The sequence below is a fragment of the Homo sapiens genome, chromosome 19 (genome assembly GCF_000001405.40).
Source record: "Homo sapiens chromosome 19, GRCh38.p14 Primary Assembly".
Classification (NCBI taxonomy): Eukaryota; Metazoa; Chordata; class Mammalia; order Primates; family Hominidae; genus Homo; species Homo sapiens.
In genome coordinates this window covers 38878323-38899662 of record NC_000019.10, presented here as the reverse complement: position 1 = coordinate 38899662, position 21340 = coordinate 38878323, and the positions used below count along the sequence as shown (strand labels likewise).

At 53.6% G+C, this 21340-nt stretch overlaps 1 protein-coding gene across 7 annotated transcripts, besides 3 other annotated features; it reads left to right on the top strand.

Moving 5' to 3' along the window:
* On the top strand, positions 45-21108 carry SIRT2 (sirtuin 2). Of its 7 annotated transcripts, NM_012237.4 has the most exons (16): positions 45-157; positions 1238-1284; positions 5796-5844; positions 6136-6249; positions 9519-9560; positions 9702-9808; positions 9918-9974; positions 10508-10576; positions 15907-16036; positions 18172-18231; positions 18508-18563; positions 18766-18842; positions 18927-18978; positions 19961-20031; positions 20163-20229; positions 20353-21103. In NM_012237.4, the coding sequence occupies exons 1-16, from the start codon at positions 142-144 to the stop codon at positions 20506-20508; spliced, it is 1170 nt and encodes a 389-aa protein (NP_036369.2). In that variant the 5' UTR covers positions 45-141; the 3' UTR covers positions 20509-21103. The 7 variants fall into 7 exon arrangements, 6 of the variants coding, with proteins under 6 accessions (NP_036369.2, NP_085096.1, XP_047294425.1 ...); NM_030593.3 differs by lacking the exon at positions 1238-1284; XM_047438468.1 differs by lacking the exons at positions 45-157; positions 1238-1284 and adding an exon at positions 1288-2307.
* Positions 5597-6098: an enhancer, noted in NCBI's record as "H3K4me1 hESC enhancer chr19:39384205-39384706 (GRCh37/hg19 assembly coordinates)". NCBI's record gives its function as "activates a minimal SCP1, AML or CMV promoter by ChIP-STARR-seq in primed H9 embryonic stem cells {active_cell/tissue: H9 hESC(primed)}" and the evidence as "EXISTENCE:reporter gene assay evidence [ECO:0000049][PMID:30033119]".
* Positions 20752-20851: an enhancer, noted in NCBI's record as "active region_14603". NCBI's record gives its function as "activates an Ori minimal core promoter by ATAC-STARR-seq in GM12878 lymphoblastoid cells {active_cell/tissue: GM12878}" and the evidence as "EXISTENCE:reporter gene assay evidence [ECO:0000049][PMID:35858748]".
* Positions 20892-21011: an enhancer, noted in NCBI's record as "active region_14602". NCBI's record gives its function as "activates an Ori minimal core promoter by ATAC-STARR-seq in GM12878 lymphoblastoid cells {active_cell/tissue: GM12878}" and the evidence as "EXISTENCE:reporter gene assay evidence [ECO:0000049][PMID:35858748]".

The window sequence follows — 21340 nt, the reverse complement described above, 5'->3', positions numbered from 1 at the left end:
CTATCACGGCCACTCCCATTTCTGGTGCCGTCACGGGACAGAGCAGTCGGTGACAGGACAGAGCAGTCGGTGACGGGACACAGTGGTTGGTGACGGGACAGAGCGGTCGGTGACAGCCTCAAGGGCTTCAGCACCGCGCCCATGGCAGAGCCAGACCGTGAGTCGGGGATCCGGGTAGGAGGGTCGGGCCGCGCCGGGGCCTGGCTGAATGCTGCAGGCCCCGGGGCCCAAGGGTGGCCGCGGTGGGGCGGGAAGTAGGGAGCGCTTCGGGGAGTGGGATTCTGAGGGCTGTTGCTTAGCGATCTGTATCGCTAGGCTGGTGGGTTTCTGGGTCGCAGTGTGTTCAGGGTTCGTTTACCACATCCACTTGCCAAGTTGCCAATGATCGCGTGTTTCTCGCACCTTGGTTGCTAAGGTCCCTCGCTGCAAAGAACATAAGTTGCCCCGGTCCCGCTTGCTATGGGTACCTGATTGTTAGAGGCAACCAGAGGATGCTGAGGGACCCCTGCTGACCCCTCCTATGGCTTCCCCTTGTTCCGCGCCTCTCCTAAACCTACCGCCTCCACTGCACCACTGCACCTCCCTCCTAAACCTGCCTCCCAGCCAAAGCGTCTCTTCCCTTCTCTTTTCCTTTCTAAACTTCCCTCTGCCTTGTAAATCTAACCCTCCCCGCACACACACTCACACACTGTCGTGTCCTTCCTAACTCCTCCTGAGTGTTCCTTCATGCCCTGAATCCCCTAGGTAGGAGGAGGAGGATCGCTTGAGCCCAGGAATTTGAGGCTGCAGTGAGCTATGATCGCACTATTGCACTCCAACCTGGGTGACATGAGCGAGACCCTTTCTCTAAAAAGTAAAAAAGAAAGAAAGTAAGTCAGGGCCAGAAACAATGGCTCATGCTTGTAATCCCAGTACTTTGGGAGGCCAAGGTGGTTGGATCGCTTGAGCCCAGGAGTTCAAGACCAGCCTGGGCAAAAGCCCCTACTTTCTCCCTGTCCCCCTAAATCTTCCTCTCCAGCCTCTCTGCCCCTCACTAATCACCTCTCCCGGCATCACTTTGCATGTAGATAAGATCTTTTCTCCGTCCCCTCCCTCCCTCTGCTCCATTTTTACCACCATCCCATCCCAGTGTAACTAGGTTGGTGGGTGTTCTTGCCCCCTCACTGACCATTTGAACCCCTTTATTCCCCCCTTAATCGTTCTCCCCACTGTAACCACCTCTGCTCCCCTCCCCCAGCCTCTCACCCTCTGGAGACCCAGGCAGGGAAGGTGCAGGAGGCTCAGGTGAGATGGGGGAAAGGGTGGAGGGGAGGAGAGAGACGGACTTGTTCCACATCCCACACTGGGGGGAGGTGGCAAAGGGGAAACAGTCACCCCAGGGCCCTCGGCTCATTGCCCCAATCCCTCACACCACCCAGTGCAGCTTTCTGGGGAAAGGCAGATTCTGGGGATTGTCAGAGAAGAGTTTCCAGCCTCAAGTCCAGGCCTGTCCTCCCAAACTTTCCTTCTTCCTTGCCACTGCCTGCCATCCCTTCTGAACCACATTTGTCCTGGGACTGGAAGAGACAGGTATCCCATTTGGTCTTGGAACGCACAGATCTCGTGGACAAGTGATGGGAAAAAATGATCTCACAGCGTGATGACGAAAGTAACTCAGGGGGCCAGATGCAGTGGCTTATGCCTGTAATTCCAATAACTCAGGAGACTGAGGCGCGAGGATCGCTTGAGCCCAGGAGTTTGAGGCTGCAGTGAGCTATGATTGCATCACTGCACTCCAGCCGGGGTGAAAGAGCAAGACCCTTTCTCTAAAAAGTAAAAAAGAAAGAAAGTAACTCAGGGCCAGACACAGTGGCTCATGCTTGTAATCCCAGTACTTTGGGAGGCTGAGGTAGGAGGATCGCTTGAGCCCAGGAGTTCCAGACCAGTCTTGGCAACATAGGGAGGCCCCCACCTCTACAAAATATTTAAAAATTAGCCATGTGTAGTGGTGCATGCCTGCATTGCCAGCTACTCAGGAGGCTGAGTTGGGGGAGGATTGCTTAAGCCCAGGAGGTTAAGGCCGTAGTGTGCCTTGACTGTGCCACTGCACCCCAACCGGGGCGACAGAGCAAAACACGGTCTCAAAAAAAAAAAAAGGAAGAAAAGTAAAGAAACTCAGGGTACTGTGGGAGCACAGAGAAAATTTTCTGGGTCAAAGAAGATTCTAGCCAGGCCATTCCCTGGAGGAATCCACAGGCTGGTCTAGCTGTCAGACCAAGATACAGACACAGCATAAGTGAAGAGTGACTTAGAATTTTCTTAGACAAGGTGAGAAATGGTGATCCACACAACAGGTATCGCTTGTGCAAAGACCTGGGGGGCATGAAGGGGTGTGATGTGTTCCATAATTGGGTGGCTGGTGGTGGTCAGCTTGTTATAGTCGTGGTTAGCATTTACTGACGGCTTACTAAAGCTGGGCCCACTGTTTAGTGCCAAACGTGCCTCATCTCAATTTCATCTTCCTGGCATCCCTGTGAAGAGAAACGCCTATCACGGCCATTTTACAGATGCAGAATCTGAGGCAGAGTTGTTAAGTCACTTATCCCCCGTCCCTCGGCTACAGGAGCAGGGAAGGGTTTGAGTCCCCCAGCACTGGGCACGCCACCTGTCAGAGGCTGCCAGGAGAGGTGGACAGGCAGTCTCATAGGAGCTTGAAGGCCCCCGTCAGCACCTCCGGCTCTCCCTTAGGCCAAGCTGCAGACACATGCTGGGCACAGGCCTTCCACACAGCCTCACTGTGTACAGCCTGAAAGAGTGCCAGCCCACCCACACCCCTGAGATTGCCTTTCAGACGTGGGGTGGTGCAGAAGCGGGCATCAGAATACCTCACAAATGCACAGTGGAGCTTTGCTAAGGATATAAGAGCCTCCTGTTAGGCTGTGGCAACTCACTCGCCTGGCTCCCAAAGCACGACCACTGTCAGAGAAAAAGGTTGAATGTTAAAAAGGATCCTCAGTCCCAAAGAGAGAGAGGCGAGGATGTAAAATGCAGCATTGTCCGTCACAGGGCAAAACTGGAAACAGTCCAAATGGCTGTCAGTGGATGGGTTAAATGAACTATGGTTCATCCATACAATCCAATACTATGTAGCTGCTCTGAAAAACGAGGTGAGGCCGGGCACGGTGGCTCACACCTGTAATCCCAGCACTTTGGGAGGCAGGGGGATCACTTGAGCCCAGGAGTTTTGAGACCAGCCTGGGCAACATAGCAAGATGCCGTCTCTTTTTTAAAAAATTATTTTTTAAATTAGGTGGGTCTGTAGCATATTGTTCTGCCGAAAACTCAAGATGTTGTATTGTACTATGACCTATTTCTGTAAAAAATATTAGTTTTATGCAGAGAAAACTGGAGTAATTTCCATTAAGCTTAGCTAACAGTGGTTATCTTTATAAGGGTGGGCTTGGGCAATTACAAGGTGAGTGCCGCAAGTTATATGTTGTTGAAGTATACATGAGTATAATCAAGGTTTTTGCAGAGGTTGTCCAATCTCTCTTTCTCTCTGTCTCTCTCTCTCTCTCATTCTCACTCTCTCTTTCTCTCTCTCTTTTTTTTTGAGACGGAGTCTCGCTCTGTCACCCAGGCTGGAGTGCAGTGGGGTGATCTCGCTGACTGCAACCTCCACCTCCCAGGTTCAAGCGATTCTCCTGCCTCAGCCTCCTGAATAGCTGGGACTACAGACACGTGCCACCATGCCTGGCTAATTTTTTGTATTTTTATTAGACACGGGGTTTCATCATGTTGGCCAGGATGGTCTCGATCTCCTGACCTCGTGATCCACCCACCTCAGCCTCCCAAAGTGTTGGGATTACAGGCGTGAGCCACCGTGCTCAGCCTTTCTCTCTCTTTTTAAATAGAGACAGAGTCTCACTGTGTTGCCCAGGCTGGTCTTGAACTCCTGGCATCAAGCAACCTTCCTGCCTCAGCCTCCCAAAGTGGTGGGATTACAGGCATGAGCCACCACGCCCAGCCGGAGTTGCACAGTCTTAAAAAGCAATTTTTTAAATTGTCGTATGTTCGGAAGGGAGGGTCTTATTCAAAAAGACTTGGACGCAGAGCAGTGAGTATCCGGGGAAGGGAGTTGTCTGAGGTGGTGGCTTGGTCAGAACTGCATTTTGGTGAAATCCATTGCAGGGCCCAGCCGTGGTCCAGCCTGAAGCAGGCATTCATTCCAAGGTAGAGGAGCTCCTGGAGCTCCTGCCAGGAGCCAGACCCTGTTCTCAGTGCTGGGCACCCAGACAAAGTCCCTGCCCTTGTGGACATCCTGGCAATTCCATAGATGTCTGGGAAGACTGCAGAAGCCAGAGAGAAGGGCCTTTGAAGTGGAGAGGGGCGAGCTGACCCAGACAGCCTCACATGCAGGGCAGCAGGGTGGATGGGAGGTGGAGACTGAGGCTGGGAGGCTGGGGGAGGAGGCTGGGGCAGGACCCCCGGAGGAGAGGACAGGCTGGACCAGGTGGAGCGCCGGGGAGGGAAAGGGGGTTGGTGGACAGACCCTTAGGAGGCTCAGCGTACATGCTCTGGAGCTGAAGGGCTGTGGCAGGAGGGCGAGGAGGGAGGCGGGGGCAGGAAACATCTGGCTGATGGGGGGGACAGTACGATCGCATTGAGATGAGGCCTGGGAGGAGGATGGGCTTGGAGGAGATGCCAGGGTCCATTTGGGACATAGTAGGAGTGAGAGGCTGGGGGGCACCTAGGGCAAGGTGTCCAGGAAGCCAGGGAACCCCGGATCTGAGGGCAGAGAGATGGTATCATGAGTGACGAGGCAGAGGTCATTGGCATGGATGAGACAGGTAACCCCAGGAAAGTGGAAAGAGAAAGCAGAGAGGCCCTGGACAGAGTCCCAGAGACCTGCCAGTCTGGAGCTGGGCTGAGGGGAGGCTTCGAGGAAGGAGACAGAGGTTGCTGGAGAGGTGGGCAGAGTGTCTGAGGCCTCGAGCAGGGGGCACATAGGTCCTTGAAGTGAGGGCCAAGGCTTTGCATTGGAATCATTCCCAGAGTGACTTGGGACATTATTCAGAGGCCCCCAGGGCTGCTGGGAAGGGACAGCAGGCCCACGCTCCAGGGGACCCGGGAACGAAGGGAAGACCCCAGGCTGTGATAATAACAGCAACAGCCAGCGCTTACCAAGCACTTCCCCCGCCCCTGGTGCTGCGCCCAGCACCCAAGCTCCCTTTCCAAGGTGAGGGACACCAAGACTTAGAAAATCAAAGTCACGACCAGGCACAGTGGCTCACGCCTGTAATCCCAGCACTTTGGGAGGCCGAGGCAGGAGACTTGCTTGAGCCCAGGAGTTCAAGACCACCCTGGGCAACAGAGGAAGACCTCGTCTCTACAAAGCAAACAAACAAACAAACAAAAAATGAGCCTGGCATGGTGGCACGTGCCTGTGGTCCCAGCTACTTGGGAGGCTGAGGTGGGAGGATCCCTTGAGCTTGGGAGGTTGAGGCTGCAGCAAGCTGTGACTGCACCAGTGCACTCCAGCCTGGGCAACAGAGCGAGACACTGTCTCAAAAAAGAAAAGCAAAGCAAAGCCACTCACATGAGGTCTTGCTCCTGGGGACGGGCATGGCCAGGACTCCAACCCCGGCAGCCTGTCCCAGAGCCCTGGAGCTAGCCCCAGTGCAGTCTCTCCACCACCCCGCACTTCCTCAGGCCACCTTCCTGCCACAGCCTTTTCCCCAAACCTGGTATCACCCCCTCTCCTCCCTCCCTAATCCCACCTCTCGGGCCTGGCCACTCCACCCCACCCCTTCCAGGACTCAGATTCAGACTCTGAGGGAGGAGCCGCTGGTGGAGAAGCAGACAGTGAGTATCTTCCTGGAGGGACAGGGAGCAGGGTTCTGGGGGGCGGGGGGATTTCAGGGCAGGGGTGTGGGTGATACCTCCTCAACTCCATCAGGAGTGACATCCAAAGTATGTAGCAGTGGGTTGGGTACCAGTGCCAGAGCAGGCTCCTGGAGGCCGCTGGCTGGGCCGGGCCTTGTGCCTTTAGATGTGGGGAGGCCGGGAACCCCAGGGCTGGGGCCAGGGTGCCGGAGACATCCATGCCCCTGGCTGAATGCCCGTCCTGCCGCTGTCTCTCTTCTTTCCGGTCAGTGGACTTCCTGCGGAACTTATTCTCCCAGACGCTCAGCCTGGGCAGCCAGAAGGAGCGTCTGCTGGACGAGCTGACCTTGGAAGGGGTGGCCCGGTACATGCAGAGCGAACGCTGTGAGTCCCCTGTCAGGATTGGGCCACTTTGCCTGGCTCCTGGCCCCAAGTGACCTCCCATCCCCAGCCACTTGAACCATTTATTGAAACCTTTTCTTTATAAGTAGCAAGAAACCCAGCTGGAACTGGCTTAAGCCAAAAAGGAGTGTGTTGGCTCTAATCCAGCTTGAAGCACGGCTGGGTCCAGGTGCTTCCACTTTGTTAAAAATCATAACTCTCTCTGATGCTGCTTTTCTTGTTTTGGGGTAAAGGTAACTCCTGGCAGCTGCAAATGCAGGTTCCACTAGCCTAGGAGCTGCCACCGAGAGAGCACCTTTTCCCAGTAGTTCAAACCAAACAGCAGAGATTGGCTCCCATTGGTCCCGGTTGAGTCAAATGCCTGCCCCCATGCCTCTGATTGGCCAGACCTGGGTCGCTTCTCCATTGCTGAGTGAATTACTGCACTCTGATTGACCAGGCCTGTTTCATAAAATGAGGATAATGATTATAGTATCTAACTCATAAGGTTATTGGCGGGGCTAAATAAATTAATATAGGACCAGGGGCAGTGGCTCATGTATGTAATCTCAGCACTTTGGGAGGCCATCGTGGGAGGATCACTCAACGCCAGGCGTTCAAGACCAGCCTGGGCAACATAGTGAGACCCCCCCGCCATCTCTACAAGAAAAAAAAAAATAGTCAGATATGGGGGCGTTGCCTGTAGTCTCAGTTACTCAGGAGGCTGAGAAGGGAGGATTGTTTGAGCCCAGGAATTGGAGGCTGCAGTGAGCTATGATGGCACCACTGCACTGCAGCCTGGGCAACACAGTGAGACTCTGACTCTAAAAAAAAATAAAGTAATAAAATTTAAAAGATAAATAAAAATGCAAATGCTTAGAGCAGGGCCTGGAACATAGCGAGAGCTGTGGCAGGGTGTGCCGTGGTTATTACTACAGGAGGCTTATTTCAGATGTGGTGGATAGGTGTCCACTTACTGAGTCAGCATGAAATTTATATTTCTTTTTCTTTTTTTTTTTTTGAGATGGAGTCTTGCTCTGTTGCCCAGGCTGGAGTGCAGTGGCACAATCTCAGCTCACTGCAACCTCCACCTCCCGGGTTCCAGCAATTCTCCTGCCTCAGCCTCCCGAGTGGCTGGGATTACAGACGCACACCACCACGACTGGCTAATTTTTTGTATTTTAGTAGAGACAGGGTTTCACCATGTTGCCCAGGCTGGTCTTGAACACCTGAGCTCAGGCAATCCACCCTCCTCGGCCTCCCAAAGTGCTAGGATTAGAGGCATGAACCACCCGTCCCGGCCTGAAATTTATATTTCTTGCCACAAGTTGAGGTCACCAAAGTCTGAGAAACCAGGCCCTTGGCAGTCCTCAACTAGAACAATCGACCCTTTGTGGTTCCTGAGCAGCCTTTTGTTGAGGACATCTTCTCCTGTGTCCCTGTCCTCCAGCTGCCACTGTCTCCCTCCTCAGGCAGCCAGGCCTGCTGCCCTGAGCCTCCCTCTCCTGCGGCAGGCGAGCAGCTGTCTGCAGCCATCTTTTAGCCTGGGCAGGCCCCAAAGACAACACAGGCAGTGGCTACAAAGCATTTGTTCCTTGTGTCCTCCTGCACCTGGATTCTGGGGTAATTGGCTCATGAGGGTGCCCAGGAGGAGATAGTAATGAAAAATAACAATTAGTTGAGGCCGGGAGTGGTGGTTCAGGCCTATAATCCCACCATTTTGGGAGGCTGAAAGCAGGAGGATCGCTTGAGGCCAGTAGGTCAAGACTAGCCTGGGCAATAAGCGAGACCCCCTCTCTGCAAAAATTTAAAGGTGAGGCTCCAACCCTCACCTCACTGCTCTAAAAATTTATTATTATTATTATTTTGAGACAGAGTCTCACTCTGTTACCCAGGCTGGAGTGCAGTGGCGCTATCATGGCTCACTGCAACCTCTGCCTCCCGGGTTCAAGCGATTCTCCTGCTTCAGCCTCCCGAGTAGCTGGGATTACAGGCGCGTGCCACCACGCCCGGCTAATTTTTGTACTTTTAGTAGAGACGGGGTTTCACCATGTTAGCCAGGCTGGTCTTGAACTCCTGACCTCAGGTGATCTGCCCCCCTCGGCCTCCCAAAGTGCTGGGATTACAGGAGTGAGCCACCGGGCCCGGCCCTAAAAATTTCTTTTTAACCACTTAATTGAGGCTTCACTATTTGCCAGGCACTGGGCTCAGCACTTTACAAGTGCCCTATTATTTGATATTCACATTATACCTGTAAGATCATTATGGAAGTGATCTGAACAGAGGAGGAAAAGGAGGCACAAAAAGGTCACGACTCAGTGTAGGGTCAAACAGTTGCCAAGTGGCAGAGCCAGGATTTGACCCCAGGTCCCCTGAATCCAGACCACATGTAGCCACCACTGGATTCAACCAGGCCTGGCCTGATGGCATCTCAGAGCTGAAGCTCAGGGCTGAAGCTGTGGCAGGCTTTGTGCTCTGTTCACCTTTGCTGTCCTCCCTTGGACAGGGCATCCCAGAGGCATCTGATCCACAGCATATCACACTTGTGCCTGTCTATCAGCTGATGGGCAGATGCCAGGGTACTATGGCCTGGTGGCTACTCACCAGCCACCAGCTAGCTATTTCTGCTCAGCCCAGGGTTCTTATCCTAAAGTGGCCTTTTCTCAAGTCCAAGTTGGTGTGATTTCCAACAGTGGATTCTCTTTTTTTTTTTTTTTTCCTTTTTTTGAGATGGAGTCTCGCTCTGTCACCCAGGCTAGAGTGCAATGGCATGATCTCGGCTCACTGCAACCTCCGCCTCCCGGGTTCAAGTGATTCTCCTGCCTCAGCCTCCCAAGTAGCTGAGATTACAGGCACGTGCCACCACGCCTGGCTAATTTTGTATTTTCAGTAGAGATGAGGTTTTGCCATGTTGGCCAGGCTGGGCTCAAACTCTTGACCTCAGATGACCCGCCTGCCTCAGCCTCCCAAAGTTCTGGGATTACAGGCATGAGCCACTGCACCCAGCCCAACACTGGATTCTTTATCCGCTGGCTGGCTCTTCCGCAGTTGATTGTGTGACTTCTTCCCCTATCTGAGCCCCAGTTTTCTCATTTATAAAATGGGGATGTTAACACCATCCCCGTCTAGATGATTGGAAGGCCCGTCATGCATCTGAGATGCTTGCCCCAGGGCCTGGCATGGAGTAAACGATGTCAGGGGCTGTGATGGGTGGTGCTATCGTAGGGACTGAGCAAACGGTGTCATATGGTGCATAAGTTCCTCTCCTCCAGGTCGCAGAGTCATCTGTTTGGTGGGAGCTGGAATCTCCACATGTAAGTAACCCTTCTCCCCCAGCAGCTACCCCCAGGAACTGGGGAGTCCCTCCCAAGGGCTGGGGAGGAGCCCTATCTGAGCCCTGTCCTGGGAGGGTTAGTATGGTATAGACCAACTGCTCCCTGACCCCCCTTTCCTAGCCGCAGGCATCCCCGACTTTCGCTCTCCATCCACCGGCCTCTATGACAACCTAGAGAAGTACCATCTTCCCTACCCAGAGGCCATCTTTGAGATCAGCTATTTCAAGGTTTGTGCTCCCCCAGGAAGGGGCGTCTGTGAGGGGTGGGGATGGGGTCACCTGGCTCCAACCCTCACGCTACCTGGGGCATCTGGCCCTCTGGCTGTCTCTCCTACAGAAACATCCGGAACCCTTCTTCGCCCTCGCCAAGGAACTCTATCCTGGGCAGTTCAAGGTGAGATCTTTGTTTTGCAGGGGGCGAAACAGGAAGGGTTGGGGGAGGGCACGCATGAGAAGCCCCGCCAAGGCCCTGCAGACAAATATTATGTAGCCATTAAGTACATGGGTGCTGGGCCCAGACTGCCTCGGTTCAAGTCCTGGTTCCTCGTGTCTTCATCTTACGACCTTGAGCCTCCGATTTGCCTCCTGTGAAGTGAAGCTAATGGTACTGTCTGAAGAGGGCTGCTGCGAGGCTTAGCTGACTAATGATGCCGTTGAGAGCCCGGGACCCTGCAGCCGGGCTGCCTGGGTGTGAATCTCAGCTCTGCAGCTTACCCACCGTGTGACTTTGGCAACACAATCCCCTTCCCTGTCCTTCAGTTTCCTCATCTGTGATCTGGGGATAGCAGTGGTCTCTCCCCGACGCGGCTGCTGTGACGGTTCCCTGGGGGTAAAACAGTCACAGTGCCTAGAACAGTTCCTGGCATGCGGCAGTGGCCTGTGGCTGTTCCCTGCAGTCGTCAGCAGTGCTGTCGCTCTTCCCTGCAGCCAACCATCTGTCACTACTTCATGCGCCTGCTGAAGGACAAGGGGCTACTCCTGCGCTGCTACACGCAGGTAGGCGGATGCGAGCATCCTGGGAGGAGGATGGGCGGGTGGAACGGGCATGGTGTCCTCAGCAGAGGAGCAGAGCTGCGTGCCCAAGAGCTCAGGCGGGGACTCCAGCAATGCGGGGCCAGGGCTTGGCCTACTGCCTCCTTGCTGCATGACCTGCCGTGAGTCACGTCTTCTCTGCCTCAGTTTCCCCTTCCGTCAAACAGGGGCCAGAAAAGGTTTGCCCTCTCAGGTCTGCCCTCTCAGGTCTGCAGTGCGGTGGCAGTGACCTCCTCTCAGGGCCATCCCATGTGTGATGTGGAAGGAGCCTATGGCTGAAGGGACTCTGTGTGCACTATAGGCACCCCAGATTTCACATTGGTTATGAGCGAGTTTCCAAAGTGACTTCATCTAACAAAATCCATACACTATGACACGTGTCCAACAAGTAGATGTTGTGCCTTAAGGAAGGGGCACCTTTTTATAGTTTTTTGTGCTTTGCCCAATTATAAACATGTCTCGTACACGTCAGGTGCTTAGCCAAGGGCCTCTCCCTGGGGCATTCAAGCAAGGATGGCTCACATTGTTGGCTTCTGGTTTGGAGAGTCTCACACCCCTAACAGTAAAAAAATCTTGATGGGCTGGGCACAGTGGCTCACACCTGTAATCCCAGCACTTTGGGAGGCCAAAGCGAGAGATAGCTCGAGCCCAGGCGTTTGGGACCCGCCTGGGCAACATAGGGAGACCCTGTCTCTACAAGAAATACAAAAATTAGCTGGGCAGGGTGGCGTGTGCCTGTAGCCCCAGCTACTCAGGAGGCTGAGGTAGGGGGATTGCTTGAGTTCAGGAAGTCAAGACTGCAGTGAGCTATGATGGTGCCACTGTACTGTAGCCTGGGAGACCTGGTTTCAAAGAAACAAAAAACAAATCAAAACAACAACAAAATGTTGCTGCCTCTACCTGTTTTATGAATATGTATAGAAATGACATGATGCACTACAACAGTATTAATTCAAGCTCTAGATCACACCTCAGAACCCCGAATTATAAAACAGGTGGCCGGGCGCGGTGGCTCACGCCTGTAATCCCAGCACTTTGGGACACCGAGGTGGGCAGATCACGAGGTCAGGAGTTCAAGACCAGCCTGTCCAACATCATGAAATCTGGTCTCTACTAAAAATACAAAAATTAGCCAGGTGTGGTGGTGCCTGTAACCCCAGCTACTCGGGAGGCTGAGGCAGGAGAATCGCTTGAACCTGGGAGGCAGAGGTTGTAGTGAGTCAAGATTGTGCCACTGCACTCCAGCCTGGGTGACAGAGCAAGACTCCATCTCAATTTAAAAAAACAAACAAACAAACAAAAAAGAGTGGTAACATTGAAAATAAATAAGTGTTCTAGTGTTTTCTCCCTGTACCTGCAGTTTGGCACCTGCAGCCCCAAAAGCTACCGCCAGGGGGAGGAACAACTGGCTTTAAGTTCAGATTTCTCAGGTGGGCGAGGTGTTCCCACCTGGGGCTGGTAGGAGGCAGAGGGCAGCGGAGGCCTCCTTCTTCCAAGAGGAGGAGTCCTGTGATCCCCACACTTTGGGAGGCCAAAGTGGGAGATCGCTTGAGCCCATGAGTTCAAGACCAGCCTGGGCAACATAGGGAGACTCCGGGCTCAGAATAAACCTTCTGCCCAGAGAGTCACCATTATTCCAGGACGTGGCTCAGATATGATAACAGCTTGCTTGAAGCCAAGTGCTTTTTGTGGTTGATGTCATGACACTCACCCCAAGACCCCGCTGGCCCTTGTTTGTCAGCTTCTGTCAAAGTAAATGTTCACTGAGTTGATTCCCTACAGCAGGGAGGGAGATGATGGACAAGATGGAGACACCATATACTGAGCATATAAGATGGTCATGGGTCCCTGGAACACAGTTAAGCTGGAAGGGGAGTCAGAAACGGTGTATGTGTTCGGGAAAGGGGGTGCTGTTGTAAACCCCATCTCTACGAAAAATACAAAAATTAGCCAGGCGTGGTGGCACATGCCTGTAGTCCTAGTTACTCAGGAGGCTGAGGCATGAGAGTTGCTTGAACCTGGGAGGTGGAGGTTGCCCTGAGCTGAGATTGCCCCACTGCACTCCAGCCTGGGTGACAGAGAGAGACTCCGTCTCAAAAAAAGAAAAAAAATGACACATCACATACAAACTATTATATAAAGGCCAGGCGCGGTGGCTCACGTCTGTAATCCCAGCACTTTGGGAGGCCAAAGTCAACGTCAGGAGTTTAAGACCAGCCTGGCCAACATGGTGAAACCCTGTCTCTACTAAAAATACAAAAATTAGCTGGGTGTGGTGGTGCGTGCCTGTAATCCCAGCTACTCAGGATGCTGAGGCAGGAGAATCACTTAAACCTGGGAGGCAGAGGTTGCAGTGAGCCAAGATTCCGCCATTGCACTCCAACCTGGGCAACAGAGCAAGACTCCATCTCAAAAAAAAAAAAAAAAAAATTAGCCAGGCATGGTAGTGCACACCTGTAGTCCCAGCTACTTGGGAGCTTGAGAGAGGAGGATTGCTTGAGCCCAGGATTTCAAGGCTACAGTGAGCTATGATCAAGCTACTGTACTCCAGCCTGGACCAGTAGAGCAAAATCCTGTCAAAAGAAAAAAAAAAAAAAACCATGTTGTCAAAGAATAACAGAACGCAGAGGTATTTCGGTGGTTCTTTTCCACGCTGTTCAGTTATTTGCTTACTGTTCAGTTATTTGCAAATTGCTCACTCACATGTGAGGGAGTCAGTGGGTAGACTGAGTCAAGTACCAAAGGCAAAACCAAGATTTAGAATAGTGGGCAAGGGAGGAAAGTTACAGGGCGTGTGGGAACAGTGACAGTGACTCTTGTCTGTAGGCTTTGGAGATAAGGTGGTTGCTGGTAGGGAGCCCAGAAGGCAGTTAGAGCATTCTTTCTGCCCTTGAAGGGAAACAAACCCTTCCCGTTGTTTCTGGAGTCCCTGGGAAACGCTGTCAGTTTGGCCCTGGGCCACACATGCGAGCCATCTCTGCGTAACCTCTGCCAGTGTCCTCTGTCAGCACCTGTTTTAGCGGCATTCCTCACAGGCAAACAACAGCTGCTCCAAAGGGGGTGGTTGTTTTAAGAAAAATGAGCGCGCACAAATGTCTGTGCAGAAAAGAACATTCCCACCTGTTTAATATGGAAAGTCTCACTGTCTTAAAAGAAAACAGTGGCCGGGCGCAGTGGCTCACACCTGTAATCCCAGCACTTTGGGAGGCTGAGGTGGGCAGATCACGAGGTCAGGAGATCGAGACCATCCTGACCAACATGGTGAAACCCCGTCTCTACTAAAAATACAAAAATTAGCTAGGCATGGTGGCGCGTGCCTGTGTTCCCAGCTACCTGGAAGGCTGAGGCAGGAGAATCACTTGAACCTGGGAGGCGGAGCTTGCAGTGAGCCAAGATTGCGCCACTGCACTCCAGCCTGGCAACAGAGCAAGACTCCGTCTCAAAAAAAAAAAAAAAAATAGCCACGCATGGTGGCGGGTGCCTGTAATCTCAGCTACTTGAGAGGCGGAGGCAGGGAGAATTGCTTGAACTCAGGAGGCAGTGGTTGCAGTGAGCCGAGATAGCGCCATTGTACTCCAGCCTGGGCAACAAGAGTGAAACTCCATCTGAAAAAAAAAAAAAAGAAAAGAAAAGAAAAGAAAACAGTGGCTGGGCATGGTGTCTCACGCCTGTAATCCCAACGCTTTGGGAGGCTGAAGTGGGAGGATCACTTGAGCCCAGGAGTTCAAGACCAGCCCGGGCAAATAGGGAGACCACCCCACCCCCCATCTCTACAAAAATAATTAAAAAGATAAAAAATTAGCCGGGCATGGTGGCATTTGCCTGTAGTCCCAGCTACTCAGTGGGCTGAGGTGGGAGGATGGCTTGAGCCCAGGAGGTGAAGGCTACAGTGAGCTGTGATCAGACCACTACACTCCAGCCTGAGTGACAGAGCAAGACCCTGCCTCCAAAAAAAGAAAAGAACACAGGTGAATATGCCATCTATGAAACAGGCCATAGTAAGAAAGGACCCTGGCTACTAAAGGGGAAGATAGTGATTAAAGCCAAGGAAGGGCCAGGCATGATGACTCACACTGTAATCCCAGCACATTGGGAGGCTGAGGCAGAAGGCTCGCTGACCAGCCTGGGCAACATAGTGAGACCCCATCTCTACAGAAAATTTTAAAAATCAGCCAGATGTGGAGGCTGAGGTGGGAGGATTGCTTGAGCCCAGGAGTTGGAGGCTGCAGTGAGCTATGATTGTACCACTGCACTATAGCCTGGGCGACAGAGTGAGACCTTGTCTCAAATACATAAAAAAACATGGCTAGGCACAGTGGCTCATGTCTATAATCCCAGCACTTTGGGAGGCCGAGGCAAGCAAATCACGAGGTCCAGAGTTCGAGACCAGCCTAGCCAACATGGTGAAACCCCATCTCTACTAAAAATACAAAAATTAGCCAGTCATGGTGGTGCGTGCCTGTAATCCCAGCTACTTGGGAGACTGAGGCAGGAAAATCTCTTGAACCTGGGAGTCAGAGGTTGCAGTGAGCCGAGATTGTGCCACTGCACTCCAGCCTGGGTGACAGAGCAAGACTCCATCTCAAAAAACAAACAAACAAACAAACAAACAAACCACACCTAGTAAGCCCTCCTGATTCATTTATGTTAATGCTTGCCTAGAGCTGCCACATGCAGCTGTGCAGGGTGCGCACTGCACAAGGATGCCACATCTGAGGGGGCTCCATTAATAACAGAGACATTGTAAATGTATGTTAATTTCAGCAATTAATGACAGGTGGAAATAAAGCATCTGGCTCTAATAAAACAACATTTTTTTTCTGAAAAATGAAAGCAAATGGCCTGAATTTGCAGAATAAAAGCCACACAGGCTGTGGAGTGGCTGTGGGCCTGGCCTCATAGATATTTAGGTTTGGGCCCCTTTTTTTTTTTTTTTTTTTTTAATTTTTTGTAGAGACAAGCGTCTTGATATGTTGCTCAGGCAGGTCTTGAACTCCTGGCCTCAAGTGATCCTCCCACCTCAGCCTCCCAAAGTGCTGGGATTATAGGCGTGAGCCGCCATGCCCAGCCTGGCCCCTGCCTTTAAGCAGCCTTGACTGTCACCCTTTAAGTGGCACCATTGGGATGAACAGAAGAGTCTTCAGATAAACCCTGCCACTTGCTTCTCCTCCCTCCCTTCTCCACCTGTCCCCACCACCTCACTGCTCCTCGTGGCCCTCAACTCCCTACTGTGCCTTCTGGCCTACAAGGGGTGGCTCACTCCTCACCCCTCTTCCCTCCATCTCTCCCTCTAGAACATAGATACCCTGGAGCGAATAGCCGGGCTGGAACAGGAGGACTTGGTGGAGGCGCACGGCACCTTCTACACATCACACTGCGTCAGCGCCAGCTGCCGGCACGAATACCCGCTAAGCTGGATGAAAGGTGAGGCTGGAGGGCATCCTGAGGGCAGGCCTCCTCTCAGCACCAGGAGCAGTGTCTCCATGCAGTGGGCACCCATTCTGTCCTGCTCAATTCTTTGGGGTTTTTTTGTTTTGTTTGTTTGTTTTTGAGACAGAGTCTCACTCTGTCGCCCACGCGGGGAGTTCAGTGGGTGATCATGGCTCACTGCAGCCCAACTGCCTGATTTCCTGTCTTTGGCTGTTTTTAATATATGATAGTAGGCCAGGAGCAGTGGCTCACACCTGTAATCCTAGCACTTTGGGAGGCCAAGGCGGGCAGATCACCTGAGGTCAGGAGTTCAAGACCAGCCTGGCTAACATGGTGAAACCCCGTTTCTACTAGAAATACAAAAAAAAAAAAATTAGCCTGGTGTGGTGGCATGCGCCTGTAATCCCAGCTACTCAGGAGGCTGAGGCAGGAGAATCGCTTGAACCTGGGAGGCGGAGGCTGCAGTGAGCTGAGTTCGCACCATTGCACTCCAGCTTGGGCAACAAGAGCAAAACTCTGTCTCAAAAAAAAAAAAAAAAAAAAAACAAGAAGTCACTTATTCCACTCATGGAAAGCCATTTCTGACATTCTTTATGCTGATTTAACAAAGCCTCTGGTGTCCCTGTGAGATAAGGACAGCTGCAGCATTTGCAGAAGGGCCTCTGGAGTGTGGCTGTTCTGATAAAATGCCAGCTGAGTGCCCCTGGGCTGAGGATTCCTGAATAGCCCAACTGCAAGCAGCTGGGGGCAGTGTACAATTCACATTACCCCCATTATGTGTCATTGACAGCAGCGTCACAGGCAGCACCCACGGTGTCATGCTGTCCATGCAGAAATATTTTAAAGAAAATTACCGACTACTGACATTGAAACAATGCTTTATAAATGTGTGCTGAATGAATGAATGGACAGTTGAGCAAATGACTTAGAATTCAGTGGGTTGCAAGTGACAGAAATGCTTTCTTTCTTTCTTTTTTTTTTTTTTGAGATGGAGTCTTGCTCTGTCACCCAGGCTGGAGTGCAGTGGTGCAATCTCGGCTCACTGCAACCTCCGCCTCCCGGGTTCAAGCAATTCTCCCTGCCTCGGCCTCCCAAGTAGCTGGGATTACAGGCACGTGCTACAACCCCTGGCTAATTTTTATATTTTTAGTAGAGACGGGGTTTCACCACGTTGGCCAGGCTGGTCTCAAACTCCTGACCTCAAACGATCCACTCGCCTCAGCCTCCCAAAGTGCTGGGATTACAGGCGTGAGCCACCACACCCGGCCAGAAATGCTTTCAAGCTTCCTAAATCAATAAGAAATAAGGCCAGGCACAGTGGCTCATGCCTGTAATCCCAACACTTTTGGACGTCGAGGTGGGTGGATCACTTGAGCCCAGGAGTTTGAGAACAGCCTGGGCAACATAGGGAGATCCCATCTCTAAAAAAAATAAAATGTAGCCAGGTGCGATGGTGGATGCCTGTGAGCCCAGCTACTCGGGAGGCTAAGGCAGGAGGATCACTTGAGCCTGGGAAGTCGGTGGTGCAGTAAGCTATGATCACACCACTGCACTCAACCATGATTGCACCACCACACTCCAGCCTGGGCAACAGAGTGAGAACCTGTCTCAAAAAAACAAACAAACCAATAAGGCCGGGCGCAGTGGCTCACACCTGTAATTGCAGCTCTTTGAGAAGCCAAAGTGGGCAGATTTGCTTGAGCCCAGGAGTTTGAGACCAGCCTGGGCAACATGGCGAAACCCTGTCTCTACAAAAAATACAAAATTTAGCCGGGCGTGCTGGCATGCACCTGTAATCCCAGCTACTCAGGAGGCTGAGGCAGGAGGATCACTTGAAGCTGGGAGGTTGAGGCTACAGTAAGCCATGATCGTGCCACTGCATTCCAGCCCGGGCAACAGAGTGAGACCTTATCTCAAAAAAAAAAAGAAAGAAAAAAACAAAAAAAATGCAACAACAAGAAGAGAGGTCTTTTCTGAGCAGAGTGGACACCTCAGGAGACACCCATCACACTCCAAGTGATGGAGGTGTGTTCATGTTAACAGTGGAAGAGGGGTGGGGGTGCTGCACCTCCAGACTCCGGCCCAGATCCTCTTACTGCCTTCTCTTTCTTCCCCTTCCCCATACCCAGAGAAGATCTTCTCTGAGGTGACGCCCAAGTGTGAAGACTGTCAGAGCCTGGTGAAGCCTGGTGAGCCTCTGGCCAGGGACCTGCCCAGGTGGATTTGGGTGGGGGTCCCCTCCTCCCCCTGACCCCCTCCCAAAGGCCACACCCGCACACATCTGGCCACCTCTGTCTCTCTGAACAGTGCCCCAGATCCATCCTGGGGAGAATGGGGTCTGTGCCCCTGGCCGGTCCCCACTGCTCCCAACTCCCACTGTGGCCTCCGGGTCTGCCATTGCTCCCACCTGTCCTCTCTGCCTCCCCATGTCACTGTCTCTGTCCGTCCATCTGTCTCCACCTCAGATATCGTCTTTTTTGGTGAGAGCCTCCCAGCGCGTTTCTTCTCCTGTATGCAGTCAGTAAGTGGCCCCCCAGCCTCCCCGCATCCCCAACCGCCGCCTCCACCTGTGCTGGGCCCCATGGGGGCAGCCTGGGCCCTGCCTCAGGAAAGGTCACCTCCCCAGCTATGGGGGGCGGCAGGGAGGTTTGCTGCTGGGGGCGGGGGAGGGAGCGGTGGCGCAGCCTGGGCGGAGGCTCCCAAGCTCACGCCCCTCCCCGCAGGACTTCCTGAAGGTGGACCTCCTCCTGGTCATGGGTACCTCCTTGCAGGTGCAGCCCTTTGCCTCCCTCATCAGCAAGTAGGTTGGGGGCTGTGGCTGGGAGGACGGCTGGGCACCCAGGGCCAGGACAGACCCTGACCCCTTAGCTCCCCCTCCCCACAGGGCACCCCTCTCCACCCCTCGCCTGCTCATCAACAAGGAGAAAGCTGGCCAGGTAAGAGCCCTTCTTCAAGCCCCCGTCGTCACAGGCTCCCCCTTCCCTCTCACCCTTTTCCTCAGAGGGAACCCCCACTGTGGAACCCCAGCACTTTGCATTCCTCAGCTCAGAACCTGGGGCTCTAGAATCCAGAGGGGTCGGGTTCCAGGCCTCTGGGACATTCACTGCCCTTTTGAGCAAGTGATAGAATTCCAACTCAAACCAGCTGAAGCCAGATAGGAAGGCCGGGCTTCCAGGGACTGAGGAGGTGGGAGGGGGTGCAGGGGTCAGGAGAGACAGTGCGGGGGGCGGGGTTGGGTCCACGCTCTGGGTCTCTCAGGTCTGTTTTTCCTGGGCAGCCTCACTCTAGGGCAGGTGCTCCCTCCTAGGTGTTCCCCTCAGGGGAAGTAGGCAGGGTCACCGGGCAAGCAGCGCACGCTGTGGGCAGACACTGTCCCAAGTCTTAGCCTGCGTGAACTCACTGGCGCCACAACCCCATCGCGGTTTTGTGATCACCCCTATTCTACAGGAAACTAAGACACAGAGAGGACAAGTCACTTGACCAAAGTCACTGAGCTGGCTGGGCGCAATGGCTCACGCCTGTAATTCCAGCACTTTGGGAGGCCGAGGCGGGTGGATCACCTGAGGTCAGGAGTTCGAGACCAGCCTGACCAACATGGTGAAACCCCGTCTCTACTAATAATACAAAATTAGCCGGGCATGGTGCTGGGCACCTGTCATCCAGGCTACTCGGGAGGTTGAGGCGGGAGAATCACTTGAACCCAGGAGGTGGAGGTTGCAGTGAGCCGAGATCACATCATTGCACTCCAGCCTGGGCAACAAGAGTGAAACTTTGTCTCAAAAAAAACCAAAAAAACAACAACAAAAAAAAAACAAAGTCACAGAGCTAGGATACAAACCCAGGCCACCTGGCTCCAGGGTCTGTGCTCTTAGCTCTCCCTTCCCTGCTCCTGCCCCTGACCCACCCCCTCCCTGACAGTCGGACCCTTTCCTGGGGATGATTATGGGCCTCGGAGGAGGCATGGACTTTGACTCCAAGAAGGCCTACAGGTGAGGCCCCGCCGGGGGTTGGGGCAGCCTGGAAGGGACAGGGTGAGGTGGGAGCGGGGGCACGAAGGCAGATGAGAGGAGCAGGCAGGGGCGAGCCCGCCTGGGAACTCTGATCTCCTGCTGCACCGCAGGGACGTGGCCTGGCTGGGTGAATGCGACCAGGGCTGCCTGGCCCTTGCTGAGCTCCTTGGATGGAAGGTGAGGAGCTGAGCAACCCCAGCCTGTCCTGAGCCCCATCCCTGGACCCTCTCCCCACCCCATGGGTCCTCTGACCCCATGATGCACAGTGACCTTTGACTTCTGTGACCTTTGCTCCTGCAGAAGGAGCTGGAGGACCTTGTCCGGAGGGAGCACGCCAGCATAGATGCCCAGTCGGGGGCGGGGGTCCCCAACCCCAGCACTTCAGCTTCCCCCAAGAAGTCCCCGCCACCTGCCAAGGACGAGGCCAGGACAACAGAGAGGGAGAAACCCCAGTGACAGCTGCATCTCCCAGGCGGGATGCCGAGCTCCTCAGGGACAGCTGAGCCCCAACCGGGCCTGGCCCCCTCTTAACCAGCAGTTCTTGTCTGGGGAGCTCAGAACATCCCCCAATCTCTTACAGCTCCCTCCCCAAAACTGGGGTCCCAGCAACCCTGGCCCCCAACCCCAGCAAATCTCTAACACCTCCTAGAGGCCAAGGCTTAAACAGGCATCTCTACCAGCCCCACTGTCTCTAACCACTCCTGGGCTAAGGAGTAACCTCCCTCATCTCTAACTGCCCCCACGGGGCCAGGGCTACCCCAGAACTTTTAACTCTTCCAGGACAGGGAGCTTCGGGCCCCCACTCTGTCTCCTGCCCCCGGGGGCCTGTGGCTAAGTAAACCATACCTAACCTACCCCAGTGTGGGTGTGGGCCTCTGAATATAACCCACACCCAGCGTAGGGGGAGTCTGAGCCGGGAGGGCTCCCGAGTCTCTGCCTTCAGCTCCCAAAGTGGGTGGTGGGCCCCCTTCACGTGGGACCCACTTCCCATGCTGGATGGGCAGAAGACATTGCTTATTGGAGACAAATTAAAAACAAAAACAACTAACAATCCGGTCTGGCCTCCTGTTTCTTTCTGTGGGCACCCAGGGAAATCTCTGAAGGGAGGGGGTTAGATCTTGGGCCACTAAGGAACCAGAAAGTCTCCGGGATCCAGAGTGAGGGGTAACAAGAGGGTCCTCACGGGGGCCCTCGTGGCTCTGACCCCTGGACTCCCAGCCTGCCAGTGTCCCTTCCTCTAAGCCCCGTCACTAAAGGCCTGAGGCCCCAGAAAGAGGGAGGAAAGTTG